Here is a 17,291-nt window from a genome sequence, read left to right as displayed (position 1 = left end):
CACACGAAAACACCTCAGGGCAGCCTAAATTTCCAAGCTATTTCTTAAAAAAAAAAAAAAGGTTTTCAAGTGAAAACAAAGATTCAATCCAAATTAACACTTCGTGTAGTTACAAAACAAAATGCATGCCAAAGGTCACTGTATACCATGTTTATAACAAGGTATCTTGAATTTTCCTTTTGCAGATAGTCATAGCCCTCTAAAAACCTAATGTAAATTACCTAAATACATTGTTGCAGTTACCTAGGCCTCTCCACCCCCATATCTTTAAGTCATAAACAGTAACTCTCCATAAGTAACACGAAGGAGCAAACATCAGACAATATTTTGGAGGGGAAAAAAAATTTAACAAATGGTCGTTTTTACTGTCCACATTCCCTAACAAGACATTACACTAATATGGAATGTTTTAAATTATCTTAAATGTTACTGCCTCTAAAAAACTGGACTTATTTTTAGATATCTTGCACACAATAATGTGTTAAGTTTCTAATAGGTTCCACCAAAATATTGTTAAAAGGTTTAAGAGATGATCTTATACTTAGATCTCAAAACAAAGATCTCACTAGGTCATTTAGTCCATTTCCCACCCCTACCAATAATTACCATTCATTCAGGTCTATTCCTTCAAATATTTTTTCAACACCCACCAGGTAAAAAGGAGTGTGCCTTCATGGCGCAAACACAAGGGGTGACCCTTCCTCCTGCAATAATCTCTGAGCTTATGCCTCTCGAGGTAAAAATGAACTTTTTACAAGAGAACTTTTTACTAGTCTTAACAAGAGAACTAGGTGTAGACATTGACAGAAATCCTTAACTTTCTGGCATGGTTTGAAGTATAAATAAATTTGGACAGCTACCATAAACACCACTGCTATACCAGGGAAAATCCTCCAAAGTACTGGGATACCTGAAGTATGCGTAAAAAATCTTGACTATAATCAAGTAAGCTTTTTTCATAACCAGTTTCTTTGAAATGATCTTCTGCAGCTTAAAACCTTAACACATGAAACTTTAGTTCTGGTCTCACATTTTTAAAAGTCTACTTGAAAACAATATTATCCTAAAGTAACTGATCAAGACATGAGAAATTAAACAACACAAAAGCTAAAGGTAATTCCCCTGAGTTATTAAAACACCTCAAAATCAAAATGCTAAATATATTCATTAATACTTTGGACACATAAACTATAAAAGGGTCACAGAGGAACCCTTAAGCATTCAAAGAATAACTAAAAATAACTTTACACAAAACTTTCTTATGACTCATCAATACTCAAAAAATGACTATAATCAAAATTGTTTGAAGTACAAAACACATCAAGGAATATCTTTAATTCCTTTCATTCAAAAATTGACTACATAGTTTTCTTGGGGGGGGAAAGGCCTGAAAAGTTTATTAACAGGCCTCATCACCATTACCTTACCTTTTGGCCTCGGCAAGCCACAAAGGTAATTCCACGCTAAAAACCTTACGGGGACACATCTCTAGGTTAGAACCCTGAGTCATTAAACACGAATCACTCCAAAATTTGCCAGTATTTCTAATAATGAGTTACACCCTAATGATTCACAACTCCAGACTGGCTACAGCCTTCTGGCTCCTGGAGTCCCAGCTGTATGACCTTAGACCAGTCAGTGCCCCTCTCCAGACTCACTCTCCTCATCTATAAAATGGGAACAGTTCCTACCGGCTGGGCAAGCTGGTCGATCCACTGAAAACCCTAAAAACAGAGCCTGGCACTTGTGAAAACAACGTTCTAAGGCGTATTTTCTGACAATTTGGGCGGAATTCAAGAACCAAATGGTGCTAGCATTCCTGCGCTGTGCCCAGATTATGGGATTCGTGTCACCTAGGGTTGGGCGAAAGGCACAGGCAAGTAACCAGAGTCACTGACTCACTAATTTTACCATTTTTAACTATTTCAGATTAGGGAGGAGCCTTTCGCCAAGTACTGAGCTACTCAGCAGCTTTGGTGGCTCCGAAGCGAGAGTGGGTTTGTGCCTATAAATAGACTGGTGAAGTTTTGTGGCGATACACAGGTATCTATTCTAATTCACCTCTCCTCAGCCACCAACTCCCCCGGCTGCCGGGCAGGTCATCCCTCCACCCCGAGCCGCCGGGGACACTCGCGCTCCCCGCCCAACTTCGGAGGCCAGTGAGTGCCCCTCGCTCCAGCGCGGACCCCCAGGGCCGCCGAGGCAGCGGCTCCCGACCTTCGCCGGCGCCCGGCCCGGCCCGGCCCCGCCGTCCTCGCCCACCCGGCAGCCGGCCCCATTTTCTTAACCCGTGCATTGTCCTTGCGAATCACCCCGGCGGTTCCCACACTGGTGGGGACCGAGAGGAGGGACGAGGGAGGAGCTGGGGGAAGAGGATGAGGAGGAAGAGGAGGAGGAGGAGGAGGAAGACAACCTCCACCCCTTCGCTCGGGCGGCCAGTGAAGGTCTGGCGCTGTCTACGGCCCCCCAGGCCCCGGCTCCCGGGAGGCCGCGGCCCCCGCTCCCACCCTCCGCAACTTTCCCTCCGCTCGCGCCCGCCGCTCCTCCGGGACCCGGCCTGAGGCTCCCTCCCCCGGCGGCCGGCCCTGGGCCCGCGGCGCCTCCTCCTAAAATGGCAGGTCCCTCCCTCCGCCCGGCCGGCCTCGGCTCCGGCCCGGCTGCGGGCCGCCGGGGGAGCCGAGCGCCAGGCCGGGCGGGGCCGCGGCCGGGCCGGACACTCACCGGGACGATGGCGGGGCGCTCGCGCCGCTTCCTCCGGTGAGTCTCAGCCTCGGGCTCCCGCGCCGCGCTCCCGCCGCGGCCTCCGCAGCCAGCGCCGCCCCGGCAGCCTCTCTCCGCCCCCGGCGCTCCGGCTCCTGGCCGCGCCGCAGCCTGCTCAGTCTCTCCTCGGCTCGCGGTTCCAGCGGCGCCCGGGGCCGGGGAGGCGACAGCCCCCTCCCCGGCAAATACCGCAGTCCCCGGGCCCCGATTCCAGGCGGCGGGGCCGCACGGCCGGCCCGGCGCAGAGGGCGGCGTCGGCGAGGCCGGGCGCCGAGCGGCGGCTGCTGCCGGCGGCTTCTTCCCGAGGAGGATTTTGTAAATCTCACAAAATGGCGCGCGCTCCGAACCTGCGCAGCGAGAAGCGCCGGGGCCCGGGCGGCGGCGGCGGCTCCTCCGCCAGGAGAGCCCGAACCGCCCGCCCCCGAGTCCCCGCACAGACAGACAGACACTCGCACACACCCGCACACTCGCGCGCACAATCGCCCTCGCACACGCTCCCTCGCACACACACTCGCACTCACACCGGTCCCGCCTGCTCGCCGGCGGCGGCAGCGGCACCAACAGCAGCAGCAGGAACAGCAGCAGCAGAAGCGGCGGCGGCGGCGCCCGCACCCCCCGCTCGGGGTGTCCGCTCTCTGAGGCCGACCTGGGCCGCGATCAGCAGCAGCGACAGCAGCAGTCTCCCCGGATACCCCCGCCGCGGTTGCCGCCGCCACCCCCGCCTCACTCCAATGGGGCTTTTTATTATTATTCGGGCGGGAAGCGAAAGGGTTTAAAAAAAAACCAACCAACAAAATGGCGACGGACCGACCCGGTCGCTATAGCAACTGTCAATCAAAACGCAAAACCCCGGCTGACGTGCTGACGTCCTCCTCCCGCCCCCCAGCCCCGAGCCGGCGGGCGGGGCCTGTTGCTCAGGTAACGGCAGATTCCGTTCCCTCCTTTCCGTCTCCCCCTCTGTCCCCAGCCAACCACCCAACCCCCTCAGGTCACGTGAAGGATAAATTCGGAGCTCGGGTCCGCTACGAGTGTCAGAGGAGGGCGCGTGATTCGCCCGGGGGAGGGGAGAGGAGGGGGACGGCTAGGCCGAGGGAGGGTAGGGGCTGGGGAAGGGGGGGCGAGGCGGCGGCCAGGCCTGTGCGCGATCGCCCGCCGCCTCCCGGCCGCCCCGCCCCGCCCCGCGCCCGCGCCGACTGCGGCCCGGGGAGCGCGCGCGGCCTCCCGCGCCGCCGCCCCCGCAGCCCTAGCGCCCCGCGCTTCCGCGTCGGCGCCCGCAGCCCCGCCCGCGCCGGGGGGAGGGGCGGGCTGCCCCGGGCGGGGGAGGGGGAGGAGGAGGGGCGCCGCGGCCTTCGGGCGGGGACCCGGGAAGCCCACCCCGCGCGCCCGGGCCTGGAGGGCTCTCACCGCGGTCCGGGCGCCGCGCTCGCCTCTCTCCCCGGGAAGCGCGGCGGCCGCGACCGTCCGCGCGTGGAGCCGGTTCTTCGAAGGGCTGGCGGGCCTCCTAGCCGGAAAATGCCGGCGGAGGCCGTGGTGGGGGCGGGGAGGAGCCACCGCCGCGCCCCAGACATCGCAGGAATTCCGGACGCTGCGCCGGGCCCGGCGGCCCTGAGGCTGGCACCTGGCTCCGGTCGGGCCGCCCAGGTTTTGTGGCGCCCGAGACCAGCGTTGGGAAATTAGGCTGGAGCCATCATGAAAACTTTTTCAGGCAGTGCACGCTCGCCTGTGCCTGCCCATCTGCTTCCAACCTCTCCCCACCTTTCGGGGCGCAGCCTGCCTGCTCCATCGGAATGCCCTTTAGATGAATCCCCTTGTGCTGTTACTGTGTCCTTGTCGTCCAGCTCTCTGGTTTTCTTTTCTATACACCTTCTCGGTTTCCAGAGTCTTAATTCGCCTGCTTGTCCTTAACCATCAAAACTCTTTATTAATATCCTGGCTTTCGCTGATTTTTATTCTCCCTACCCCTTCTCCCTAGCTATGTATTGCTGGGTGAGCTCCCGAGGCTTGAAAACCCAAGTATGCTGTGCTGGCTGCGTTGTAATCGGTAGAGAGCCACCAGCTAAAAATTGTATTTTGTACCAACTCTAATGGCATTTAATAAATGTATACCTAAAAAGAGTGTGTGTGTATATATATACTATTTTACAGCAGAGTCACTAATTGATTTCTAAGCTTGATTTTGCCACCTTGTGATAGTGTTCGTAACCAATTTTTTTCATAAATTTCACAAATGTGACAACAGATAAAATCTTATAAACAATATTAGATGTAAAAAACTCGCAGTAAATGCCGCTGTCTATGCTACATGACTCAAATACACCTGCTTTAAATGATTTCCAGCAAAAATGTCCTTGCTACAGTTACTAGGACATTGATATACTAAGGTAACCATTCAGATTAGCACAGACTTTGAAAGAAATCCGACTAAACCGAAAATAAATTAGTCAAAAAGTAATTACTAAGGTAACCATTCAGATTAGCACAGACTTGGAAGAAACCTGACTAAACCGAAAATAAATTGGTCAAAAAGTGGTCGGGCAAATAGCTTGCTTTCAGGCTGATCTCCATGATATAAAAAAGTTGCCGTAGCTGGCAAAAGTTCTTTCGGATTATTGTTTCAAAATTGCCCTGCTAGTGTGATTAAGGTCCACGGTCAACTTAATTGTTTTGAAGAAAGAGGAAGTGGCCCAGAGCGCCCCTTATTCAGAGGAGAGGTCCCTACCTGGTTCCTCCCAAGCTCAAGCTTCCACCTATACAACCAACTTCTTCCTCTCTGCTTGTGGGTCTCCTTCCTGCCCCCACCCCATCCCACCCCATTCACCAAGCTTTCGCTTCTATCAGAGCACATCAGCATTTGCAACCTTTAATACTAAATTAAATTTGACTCAAATTTTTATTCCTGGTAATGGAAGAAACTTGTATAGTTAATCTTCCAGGTAACCTGAACAGAATATGATAATGTCTCAAGATATGTGTCCTTGTCTTCAGTTCAAATCAACCTAGAAGATATCGGAGTGGGGCAGAATCTTGAGATTATAAACATGCGGGTATAGAAGGCATTGCTGGTCTTCGTATCTAGAAGGCTGCACCCCTTTTCTCCCCAGTGTGACAGCCTTAGACAACATTGGTCAATGAATGTCATATCCAGGTTGGAATGCTGTAAAATGGTTTTATACAGGCTTCACCTAAAAACGTAACCTGTGAATTACAGCTGGCTCCAAACAAGTGACCACATGTAGGCCGGAAGGACTCTGGTATAGATGCCAGCTGACCTGGTTCACAGATGAAATCCTTGTCATCTAAGAATCTTCCCATTAGATTCACTTACAGATGTGTTTATTCATAGACTGTTCACCTTGAAAAGCAAAGGCCCTCAGCTCATAGGTAGTAACAGCCTCCACTTACCCAGCATGTTCTAGAGTATCTCTAATCCTCACAGCAACATTACATCCCCATTATGTGGATGAGAAAACAAGTCCTGAGTGATTACATGACTTTCTCAAGGCAGTCACCACTCACCAGTAAGTGGTGAAGCCAGGATTCAAACACAGGTATAATTGCAAAGCCCATGTTCTTTCTACCACACCAAGATGATTCAAGATTATATGGAGTTAGAGTCTTCACAGAGGTAATCGAGTTGGGTCTCTAGATTGAACCCTAATCCAAAATGACTGCTGCCCTTATAAAAAGGAGAAATTTGGACCAAGACAAACGAACACAGGGAAGAACGTACAGACACCAGGAGAAGGTGGCCATCTACAAACCAAGGCACACCTGAGGCTACCAGAAGCTGACAAAGAAGCATGGAACAGATTTTGTCTTACGGCCATCAGAGGGAACCAACCCTGCCAACATCTTGATTTTGGACTTCTGGCCTCCAGAAATTCAAGACAGTACATTTCTGTTGTTTAAGCCACCTAGTTGTTTGTACTTTGTAGTGGCACTAAGGGAAACTAACACACAGATGCGTGCCAAGATGGTGGTTTCTTTTGGTTGGCTTCATATCCGTTAGTGACCACTCCTGGTGAGGCACTATTCTAAGCCTGAAAGTCCAGTAGTTGGAATCTCGCTGAGAGTTATAACCCAAATAAATATTCCAAGGACAAACAAGCAAACCAGTATTCCTATCAATGCTCCTCACGCCAAGCGAGAAGGTGAACAATTTGCATTTGGTCCCTAGACAGTGGCATGGCGTGGCATCTGACACCCCTACTGTTCTTACAGACTTCTGGGTAAAAGTCTTCACTTGCTGCCCTTGTACAAACTTTATTGTTCGTTCGTTCTTTCTTTTTTTTTTTTTTTGAGACAGAGTCTCGCTCTGTCACCCAGGCTGGAGTGCAGGGGTGTGATCTCGGCTCACTGCAACCTCCACCTCCCCAGTTCAAGCGATTCTCCTGCCTCAACCTCCTGAGTATCTGGGATTACAGGTGCCCGCCACCACACCTGGCAAATTTTTGTATTTTTAGTAGAGAAAAGGTTTCACCACATTGGCCAGGCTGACCTCGAACCCCTGGCCTCAATTGATCTGCCCACCTCGACCTCCCAAAGTGCTGGGATTACAGGTGAGAGCCACTGCACCCGGCCTTGTTTATTCTTATTTTTAAGGTAATTCGTTATCTAAAACAGATTACAAAGAAACAAAATTAATTAAAACAAGAAAAAGGCCTTCTATAAACTGACAATGGTAGTATGCTATGAAATAAGAAGTTAATTCTTTTTTTTTTCCTTTTTTTTTTTTTTGAGATAGGGTCTCACTCCGTTGCCCAGGCTGGAGTGCAGTGGCAAGATTACAGTTCACAGCAGCTTCCACCTCCCAGGCTCAAGCAATCCTCCCCACCTCAGTCTCCTGGGTAGCCGAGACTACAAGCGCATGCCACCACGCCTGGGTAACTTTTTGTATTTTTTGTAGAGATGAGGTTTTTCTGTGTCAACCAGGCTGGTTTCAAATTCCTAGACTCAAGCCATCCTGCCTCCTCAGCCTCCCAAAGTGCTGGGGTAACAGGTGTGAGCCACCACGCCTGGCCGAGGAGTTAATTCTTAATTCTTTGTACCTAAGGTCCAAAAACAAAATGTAACAGTCATGCATGGTCATTACAGACGATTTTACAATATGGAAAACAATGAAGAGGGAATGATTACTCGTAGATATCACCCAGGAAAAAAAAAAAAAAAACCTTATTGGTATTTTCATATTAGCATATGTCCTTCCAGATTTTCTTAGGGAGACATGAGTACATTCACCCACATACAACACTGCAGATATGTTTCATGCCGTTTTTACTTACAATTATACTATGAGCACATTTTAGTGTTAATCAACTGAAATTTAGATAATCATTTTAACAGCTACTAGTATTCCATCAGTTGAATAGGCCATAATTTGTTTACCTGCTCCTCTATTTTTTAAGGAAGTTTTTCCTTTTTGTTGTTGTTGTTACTACAGATAAAGTTGTATAAACATGTCCTACATCCATTTTACACACCTGTCCAATTATCTCCTTCAGATAAAAGTATGCGTCCTTAAAAAGCTTTTGATTCATGTTACCAAAATATTCCTCAGAAGTGATTCCACCAATATGCACTCCCTAAAAGTAATGTGTGACAATGGCTTTTTCCTACACCCTGCCACACCCTCTTATTTTTATTTGCATTTATTTGGACATTTTGTGACTTTTTAAAAATATGTTTGTTGTGTATTTGTGCCCTGCCTGTGTATATCTATCTGATGCCTATTTGGGAAAGCAGAGAAGTATTTGGGGTTTTTGGTTTTTTGTTTGTGGTTTGTTTTGGTTTTGTTGTTGTTGTTTTAGACAGAGTCTCCCTCTGTGGCCCAGGCTGGAGTGCAGTGGTGTGATCTCAGCTCACTGGAACCTCCGCCTCCCAGGTTCAAGAGATTCTCCTGCCTCAGCCTCCCGAGTAGCTGGGACTACAGGCGCCCGCCATCATGCCCGGCTAATTTTTGTATTTTTAGTAGAAACGGGGTTTCACCCATGTTGGCCAGGATGGTCTCGATCTCTTGACCTCATGATCTGCCTGCCTCAGCCTCCCAAAGTGCTGGGATTACAGGCGTGTGCCATCACGCCCAGCCTTTTTTTTTTTAATTGATTTCTTTTTTGAGATTTTACTGTAAAAAGAAACAGGAAGAAAAAAAAAGAAAAATGGAAGGCCATGGGATGCTGTTAGATTGATACATGAATGTCACCCCAGTCAATGTGTCTGTGGCCATCTTCATTCTCCTAGCCATCTCCCAAGTAGGGCTAGCCCGACGCCTTTCTTGCTCTCACTGTCCTTCCCCCCCCCTTTTTTTTTTTTGAGACAGAGTTTTGCTCTTTTTGCCTAGGGTGGACTGCAATGGTGCGATCTAGACTCACTGCAACCTCCACCTCCCGGGTTCAAATGATTTTCCTGCCTCAGCCTCCCAAGTAGCTGGGGTTACAGGCATGCACCACTACGCCTGGCTAGTTTTGTATTTTTAGTAAAGATGGGGTTTCACCATGTTGGCAAAGCTGGTCTCAAACTCCTGACCTCAGGTAATCCACCCGCCATGGCCTCCCAAAGTGCTGGGATTACAGGCATGAGCCACGGCTCCTGGCCTCCTTCCTCCTCTTAACCAGACACCTGCAACCAAGGACTCTCTCCCAGAATCTTAAGGTTACAAAGTTGTTTATGTCAAGATGTGGTTCTCATGGTGCCATTAAAAAAGAGAGAGAGAGAGAGAGAGGACAATATTCATTGCCTTCCTTATCATGTAAGCATGTTTACCAATATTATTTTATGAATTGCCATTAACATTTTCTTTTCTTGTGACATTAAGATAAAGCTTAAATAGTAAATATGTAATTATTAAAGTGTGTATTCCACAGTTTCAGAATATCTTGAAATCATATTTTGCGGCCGGGCCTGGTGGTTCACGCCTGTAATCCCAGCACTTTCGGAGGCCGAGGCAGCCGGATTGAGGTCAGGAGTTCGAGACCAGCCTGGCCAACATGGTGAAACCCTGTCTCTGCTAAAAATACAAAAATTAGCCAGGTGTCATGGCAGGTGCCTGTAGTCCCAGCTACTCCGGAGGCTGAGGCAAGAGAATCGCTTGAACCTAGAAGGCAGAAGTTGCAATGAACCAGCATGGCGCCACTGCACTCCAGCCTGGGCAACAGAGTGAGGCTCCGTCTCAAAAAAAAAAGAAAATCGTATTTTGCAACATTTTGGCAAGACTTGAAAAGAAATCCACTTTTGTATATTGATTCATACGTATATATTAGCTTCCTCAAAATTAACAGGTTGAGGAAAATGCCCTAATGAAACTGTGAAAAACAATTAAGTAATGGAATTTAAAATTAGGCAGGAGGCACAGAGTTCTACAAAGATAACTTTCTGCATTGGCTCATTAGCTCAATAGTTCCTGAGAGTTTTGGCTTATTTTCCTGGCTTTTTAATCTAAGTATGTAGTGAACATCTTTTAATATTTCTACAGTATTTATTGATCTGCACACTTACTGCTATCATTTTCAACATTTTTCCTATTTTTGCTTCAATTCAATGCAAAATATGTTTATAGTTGTTATAGCATTAGTACTATTTTGTTATATTGTATTTCCATGTCTGTTTCTAAACTAGAAGTGCTTTTAGGGCAAGCATCCTGTATTTTCATCTTTGTGTCACAAGCACCATATCTGGAATATTATAAATACTGTTTGATTTAGTTTGGTTTGGTTAGGATTGGAGTTTTTTGTTTGGTTGGTTGGTTTTTGGTTTTTTTTTTTTTTTTTTTTTTTGAGACAGGATCTTACTCTGTCACCCAGGCCAGAGTACAGTAGCACAAGCATGCCTCACTGCAGCCTCGACATCCTAGGCTCAAGCAATCCTTTCACCTCAGTCTCGTGAGTACCTAGGACTACAGGTATGCCTCACCATGTCCAGCTAATTTTTTTATTTTTTTTTGTAGAGATGGGGGTCTCCCCATGTTGCCCAGGCTGGTCTCAAACTCCTAGGCTCAAGCTATCCTCCCACCTCAGCCTCCCAAAGTGTTGAGATTACAGGCATGAAGCACCACACCTAGCCATGACCATTTGTTTTCTTATTTATTTATTTATTTATTGAGATGGAGTCTTGCTCTGTCTCCCAGGCTGGAGCAGTGGCATGATCTCAGCTCACTGCAACCTCCGCCTCCCAGGTTCCAGCAGTTCTTCTACCTCAGCCTCCCGAGTAGCTGGGATTACAGGCATGCGCCACTACCCCCAGCTAATTTTTGTATTATTGTTAGAGATGAGGTTTCACCATGTTGGCCAGACTGGTCTTGAACTTCTGACCTCAGGTGATCCACCTGCCTCGGCTTCCCAAAGTGTTGGGATTACAGGCATGAGCCACTGTGCCTGGCCTGTTTGTTTTCAAGATAAAAAATAATCAAGTACATGGTTGAAACATCCAAACAGAACAGAAAAGAGTCAAATAAACAGTCCAAGCCTCCCACCAGCCTCCCGGACTCCTTTGTCCTTCACCCGGTTCCTCAAGGCTTCATGGGACTCTACAGTTGGGTATCACATCATTGCCCACTGAAAAGCTTAGAGGACTTTAAGCTTTTGTTTTGGGGATAACATTCTTACATGTTAGTTTGGTGCCAAATCCCTTCATGATCTGACCTCTCAGGCCTTCTCTGCTCAGGGTCCACCACTTTACACTCCCAGAACACAACCCATTCTTTCTCATCTCCTCTGCTGTCTCCAGGAAAGCCTCATTCCCTTGTCAAGTCACTTATCACTGTATTTTCACGGTAGGTTTCTTCTTCCATGCACTAGGAGAAAAGGGAACCCTCCAGGGGTACAAACCTAGCTCCCTGGGAATTTTTATTCTCAGTGCTTCGCCCAGTGCCTGGTATCTACTGATCACCAAATGAATGTTTTTGCAAGAACAGAGTCACCAGAGAATTGCAAAACAGCACGGGCAGGATGGAGTAGGCAAGCAATTAAATCCAGGAAATGGTTAAAAGCAAGAGAACTACACTTCACTCTGGAGTTGAAAGAGGGACCATCTGCATCCGGCCTTCCTCTCGCTCCCAGCTTGGACGCTGGCTTCCTGAAGATAGGGAGGGCTGTTCGGTGGGAGGGCTGTCAGCCCCACAGATGGCTGAGGTGGCGTTAGTGGAGTGCTGGATGAGGGTGCCTTTTGGATGGGGTAGGTCATGGCACAGAGACCTTCTGATTTGCTTTTGCTAGAAAGGCTGGGTGGGAAGGGACACCTCAGCAGGGGCAGAAGGGAGCTGGTTTCCTGAGGGTGGTGACAGCCCACTCCTGTAGCCAAAAGGGGACCTCCACATTTCCTTCTAGCTTGTCTAGCCCAGAAGAACTGGGGTGGAGCCCAGGGTTCAGGGTAGATGCTGGAAACAGGAACACATTCGTGGACTACGAACTTTGCAGCTGCACAGGTAGAGTGGAGGATGGAAGCCCAGCTTTCCAGGGTCCTGAGTTGACAGAATGGAAGGCATCTGTGAGACATAGGGCTAATGTGGGAAGTACCTTCATTCACGGGTCTCAGACCACCAGGGAAGGAGGCCCGCCCTGAGCAGAAGGCAAGCAGAGACATCATAGACTCACACATAGATGCTGGAGTTGAGGGGAGCCCAATCGTTACCTATCATAAACTCTAATCATCCAGTGGCTGCTGTGGGAAAGAAAGGGAATGGAATTTCCATGCAGGAAAACTTACCTGACAACACTGACATTTTGTTCACATTAGTCATTGGAGACATTTTCATTTTATTGTAATGAAGCAGGGCACAGACAATGTCTTGCAAGTCTGGATGTTTTAGAAGGGATTGGTGAGCTTGATAATAATAATAATAGCAACTGGAAACAAGAGTTCTCTGTTGGGACAGAGAACATGGGGGATTCTCAACTACCTCCTTGCCGCAGGAACTGGGGTAGTGTACTTACCCTCTCTGAATTTGTTTCCTCATCCTTTAAGGGAAGTCTTTAATCCTTTGTGAACTATAAATCATTGTGTAAATATTGGGCCCCGATGTAAAGAATAAGAGGATTTGATTCGATTCAAATTTTAACTTTTGAAGCCTTTCCCAAGACCCTTTCCCCTTTCAAAAATAAATGAAAGGCCAGGCGCAGTGGCTCATGCCAGTAATCCCAGCACTTTGGGAGGCCGAGGCGGGTGGATCACTTGAGCCCAGGAATTCGAGACCAGCCTGGCCAACATGGTGAAACCTCGTCTCTACTAAAAATACAAGAATTAGCCAGGCGTGGTGGTGGGCACCTGTAATTCCAGCGACTCAGGAGGCTGAGGCAGGAGAATCGCTTGAACCTGGGAGGCAGAGGTTGCAGTGAGCCGAGATCACACCACTGCACTCCAGTCTGGGCGACAGAGCAAGACTCTATCTCAAATAAATAAATAACATCTTCCGTGTTCTCAAAACACTCAGGTCATTCTGCTGTAAACACATTTAACCCATTATATTCCTGTAAGTTATTATTTTTCTTTGCCTATATTTGAATGTCTTCACCAACCGGTAACTCACTACCTCCTAAAGCTGCCCAGACCTTCTTTGGTCACCCTCAACTACAGGAAATTTGCCTTTGCATTCTGTGAATGGATCTTCTTCCCAGGCTTTCCACCCAGTTTCTAAATCTTCCCATTTGAGACCACATAGACCAAGTCTCACTGTTCTTTCAAATGACAACCTTCAAACATTTGAAGCAAGCTGTGACTTTCCCAGGCTAAACACGTTTTCTTCTCTCACTTGCTCATCCAGTATGTTTCCCCAGACCAGCCCCCACCCTCGTATGACTCCTGTTGATAACATCACTAAGTGAAACCTTGGAAACAACCTAAGTGTCCAGCGGTGGAGCCTCAATTTTAAAATATAGCTCATCGACTTGTGGAAATAGAACACAAAATGAAGAATATTTCACAACATGAGAAAAATGATTACAGCAGTTAGTATACTTTGCATGACTTCAACTTTATAATAAACAATGTATATAATAAAAAATTTTTGTAACATTTATCTCTGGAGGGTACAATCACAGGTGATAATTTGTCTTCTTTGTGCTTGTTTTTCAAATTTTGTATAATCAACTACTGGTAATCAGGAGAAAAAATAGACCCCGTGTCCCTGTAATTTTTACCTAATGACCTGAGACCTTAATTTTTAGAATATCACAAAATAGGCTTCTTCCTACTTCTCATTTCAGAAATTAATATGTGTAGCAAATAGCCTCAGAGTACCAGGAGCCCAGTGGGCACTCAATAAATATTTGTTTTCTTCTTTACTTGCCTAAGTACTTGAAAAGCACTCTCGCATCCTTCCATCTCATTAAACCTTCTCTCAGCTGCTTCCTATGGCTTGATTTCTACTCCGTATTACAAAGGACATTTGCTGTATGTTTCACTTTGGGCTTTTTAAAATTATTATTATTATTTGAGACAGGATTTAGCTTTGTCCCCCCCGGCTGGAATGCAGTGGCACGATCATGGCTTACTGCAGCCTTAACCTCCTGGGCTCAATCTATCCTCCCATCTCACCCTGCCAAGTAGCTGGGACCACAGGTGCTCATCACCACATCCAGTTAAATTTTGTATTTTTTGTAGAGATGGGGTTTCACCGCATTGGCCAGGCTGGTCTTGAATTCCAGGCTTCAAATGATCCATCTGCTTCTATCTCCCAAAGTGCTGGGATTACAGGCGTGCCCCACCACACCTGGCTTGTCTGGGCTATTAATCAGAGGTCCCTAATAGTTACCAGCTCCAACAGCAAGAGAAAGACACATCCCCTTTAAAGGGACATAAGTATAGAAGGAACAACAGCTTCACCATTTTTGCAGTATTTTTAAGCCAGTAAAATTAAAATAGAATGGCCAGGAGTTAATCCTTCCATCATACGGGTGATGTCCTTATCAGAGCGTAGTCTAGTTTCTGATCCCTGGATCACCAAAGGGACTGACATTATTTGCCTTGGAGAGAGAAAAGCAAGTATCATGTGCCACTCGCAATTTTGCATGTTAAAGGGTTTTCCAAGAAGGAGGTCAAGACAGTGAGAACCAAAACAAATGGAACAAAAAGCCCAGAGGTCTCAACTTGTCACACCAGAGATCACCTTTTCCCAAAACCGGCTGTCTTAGACGGTGCCTTCGTGGATGCAGTCACCATTCTCTCAAACCCCATAACCTGTAAAATCTTTCTACAGTTGAGTCACAGGTTACCTGCAGTGAAGTGCATAGCTATTCATTTATACCACATGCACTCGTTGAGTGTCTGCACTGTGTCAGTTACTCTGATCGGTGCTGGGGATGCAAAGATGGTTGAGATTGGACCCCAGTCCTGAAAACGTCCAAGACCAGTAGGGAAGACCAAATGGGTCAAAGAAACTATAACGTGATAAATTCTGGAGTAAGAAGGAAGAGGCCCCTGAACCCCATCTGGGGGAATCCCAGATCAACGGCCTGAAGTTTTTGTCACTTACCCTCCCAGCTTGTGATAGATCTGGAATGCCTGATAGAGAGTGGGGAGGAGGAAGGAGTTTGTATAAAGGTTCTTTCTCTTTGGGTTAAATTTGGTCTCATTTTTCTAGCATTTTCAGATGGAAATATATATAGCTTTGAACTTTTCTTCCAGTTTATTCATTAAGGCAGTAAATTCCATCTAAGCACTGTTCTGGCTCTGTCCTACACATTTTGATATGTTGTATTTAAACTATTTTTAAATTATTATTTCAATTTAAAATATTTCTTTCTTTCTTTTTTGTGAGACAGAGTCTCGCTCTGTTGCCCAGGCTAGAGTGCAGTGGCGCGATCTCGGCTCACTGCAACCTCCACCTCCCGGGTTCAAGTGATTCTCCTGCCTCAGCCTCCCAAGTAGCTGGGATTACAGGCACGTGCCACCACGCCCTGCCAAGTTTTGTATTTTTAGTAGAGACGGAGTTTCACCATCTTGGCCAGGCTGGTAATTCAAAATATTTCTAACTGTGCTTTTTTCTTTGATATGGGTTATTTAGGAATATGCTGAATAATATTCAAATATTCAAATTAAGATATTAATTTTTGTTACTGATTTCAACTTTAACTCTATCGTTTTTAGAGAATATTTTCTGTATGATTTCAACACTTCAAAATGTGTTAAGACTCAGTTTATGGCTCAGTGTATACTCTATTTTGGTGAATGTTTCATGCGCACTTGAAAACAGTGTGTATTTTTTAGTGGTTAGGCAGAAAGTTTTTAAAATGTCAATTAGGGCAATTTGGCTAATAGTGCTATTAAAATTTTCTGTGTCCTTACTGATTTTTGTTTGCTTGCTCTATCAGTTGAGAGAGAAATTGTGGATTTACTTCAATTGCGATTGTGGATTTGCTTGTTTCTCTTTTAATTTCTGCCAAATTTTGCTTTTTATATTTTGAAGATTCATTATTAGATATAGATACATTTATAATTGTTATGTCTTCCTGCTGAATTCCCCCTTTTATTGTTATAAAATGCCCGTTTTTCACTAGTAGTACTTCTTGCCTTTCAATCTAGTTTTTAAGATTAATTTGTCGGACCAACCTTACTTAGTGTTTACATGGTGTGTCATTTCCCATCTTGTTACTTTCACCTTTCCCCTACCTTTATATTTAACGTGTGTCTCTGTGAAATTGTATATAGTTGGAGCTTTTCTTATTGAACCTGACAATCTTTGCCTTTTAATTGCGGGATGTGGTGCATGTTAAGTTAACCCTCTCCATTTGCCCCAAGAATACTCGTCTCCGGTGCTTACGGCTGCAGTGTTTATCCTAAGATAACTTTGCCATGAAATATCTTGCTCTTATTATTATTTTTGCATCGCTCTAGTTTATCTACTTTGGAAACAAAAGACATCATTCTATTTATAGCATTCATTTTGTTTTTAGTAGTGGTATTTCCATTACAAAATATCGTAATTCTCGATCACTGAAAAAGTCAAATGCTAGAAAACGTAGCATTCCTATTTACGATGTTAACATCATTCTCGAACAGTTGTTAGCCAAAGATTCATTTGATGAATCCTATTTTTCCGAAATAGACGATTCTGATGATTCTGTTAGTTATGTTTAGAAGTAACTCCAAGAACAGTTTTTCTATTTTATTTCCACATTGAAAATCAATCAGCAGGAGATTGAGGCAGGAGAATCGCTTGAGCCCGAGAGGTCAAGGTTTCCGTGAACTGAGATCGCAACACTACACTCCAGCCTGGGCAACAGAGCGAGACTCTGTCTCAAAAAGAAAAAAAATCAGTCAGATTTGCTTCAGCCTCAAAGAGAGTGTTTATGTAAAATATGAACACTGGCAGCAAGATGCACTTTTTTTTTTCCTAAAGGAGAAGGGTTAATTACATGTCTGATATAACTGAGTTTACACCTCTGTCTTGGCGTTTGTTTTCTACCTGTGCAATGCAATCTGTACTTTGTCTCTTTTTTCTTCAGTGGTTTCTCTTGGGTAAATCAAGCACATGTATAAATTTCATCATGTGTATTTTCTCTATTAGCTTTTCAGCATCACCTTTTTGGGATTTAAGTAGTTTA

The 17,291-nt window shown here is 46.1% G+C and overlaps 1 protein-coding gene across 5 annotated transcripts in view, besides 10 other annotated features; it reads right to left on the bottom strand.

Moving 5' to 3' along the window:
* DYRK1A (dual specificity tyrosine phosphorylation regulated kinase 1A) overlaps positions 1-4,777 on the bottom strand; it is a 160,786-nt gene extending 156,009 nt beyond the window's left edge. For 2 of the 5 annotated variants that reach the window (NM_001347721.2, NM_001347723.2), the window contains exon 1: positions 2,722-3,577. The gene's annotated coding sequence lies outside the window, so the exon portion shown is untranslated. Of the gene's footprint in view, positions 1-2,721; positions 3,578-4,164; positions 4,278-4,515 lie in introns of those variants that run through there. The other 3 variants (NM_001396.5, NM_001347722.2, NM_101395.2) reach the window with 3 other exon arrangements.
* Positions 2,075-2,354: a silencer, noted in NCBI's record as "silent region_13306". NCBI's record gives its function as "represses an Ori minimal core promoter by ATAC-STARR-seq in GM12878 lymphoblastoid cells {active_cell/tissue: GM12878}" and the evidence as "EXISTENCE:reporter gene assay evidence [ECO:0000049][PMID:35858748]".
* Positions 2,075-3,264: a biological region, named in NCBI's record as "NANOG-H3K27ac-H3K4me1 hESC enhancer GRCh37_chr21:38739461-38740385".
* Positions 2,267-3,191: an enhancer, noted in NCBI's record as "NANOG-H3K27ac-H3K4me1 hESC enhancer chr21:38739461-38740385 (GRCh37/hg19 assembly coordinates)". NCBI's record gives its function as "activates a minimal SCP1, AML or CMV promoter by ChIP-STARR-seq in naive H9 embryonic stem cells {active_cell/tissue: H9 hESC(naive)}" and the evidence as "EXISTENCE:reporter gene assay evidence [ECO:0000049][PMID:30033119]".
* Positions 2,465-2,604: a silencer, noted in NCBI's record as "silent region_13305". NCBI's record gives its function as "represses an Ori minimal core promoter by ATAC-STARR-seq in GM12878 lymphoblastoid cells {active_cell/tissue: GM12878}" and the evidence as "EXISTENCE:reporter gene assay evidence [ECO:0000049][PMID:35858748]".
* Positions 2,845-2,924: a silencer, noted in NCBI's record as "silent region_13304". NCBI's record gives its function as "represses an Ori minimal core promoter by ATAC-STARR-seq in GM12878 lymphoblastoid cells {active_cell/tissue: GM12878}" and the evidence as "EXISTENCE:reporter gene assay evidence [ECO:0000049][PMID:35858748]".
* Positions 3,115-3,264: a silencer, noted in NCBI's record as "silent region_13303". NCBI's record gives its function as "represses an Ori minimal core promoter by ATAC-STARR-seq in GM12878 lymphoblastoid cells {active_cell/tissue: GM12878}" and the evidence as "EXISTENCE:reporter gene assay evidence [ECO:0000049][PMID:35858748]".
* Positions 3,845-4,154: a silencer, noted in NCBI's record as "silent region_13302". NCBI's record gives its function as "represses an Ori minimal core promoter by ATAC-STARR-seq in GM12878 lymphoblastoid cells {active_cell/tissue: GM12878}" and the evidence as "EXISTENCE:reporter gene assay evidence [ECO:0000049][PMID:35858748]".
* Positions 4,116-5,041: an enhancer, noted in NCBI's record as "NANOG-H3K27ac-H3K4me1 hESC enhancer chr21:38737611-38738536 (GRCh37/hg19 assembly coordinates)". NCBI's record gives its function as "activates a minimal SCP1, AML or CMV promoter by ChIP-STARR-seq in naive H9 embryonic stem cells {active_cell/tissue: H9 hESC(naive)}" and the evidence as "EXISTENCE:reporter gene assay evidence [ECO:0000049][PMID:30033119]".
* Positions 4,185-4,364: a silencer, noted in NCBI's record as "silent region_13301". NCBI's record gives its function as "represses an Ori minimal core promoter by ATAC-STARR-seq in GM12878 lymphoblastoid cells {active_cell/tissue: GM12878}" and the evidence as "EXISTENCE:reporter gene assay evidence [ECO:0000049][PMID:35858748]".
* Positions 4,505-4,584: an enhancer, noted in NCBI's record as "active region_18450". NCBI's record gives its function as "activates an Ori minimal core promoter by ATAC-STARR-seq in GM12878 lymphoblastoid cells {active_cell/tissue: GM12878}" and the evidence as "EXISTENCE:reporter gene assay evidence [ECO:0000049][PMID:35858748]".

Source organism: Homo sapiens, chromosome 21 (assembly GCF_000001405.40).
Source record: "Homo sapiens chromosome 21, GRCh38.p14 Primary Assembly".
NCBI lineage: Eukaryota > Metazoa > Chordata > Mammalia > Primates > Hominidae > Homo > Homo sapiens.
The sequence above is the reverse complement of the archived record's forward strand: the minus strand, read 5'-3'. Positions and strand labels throughout refer to the sequence as shown.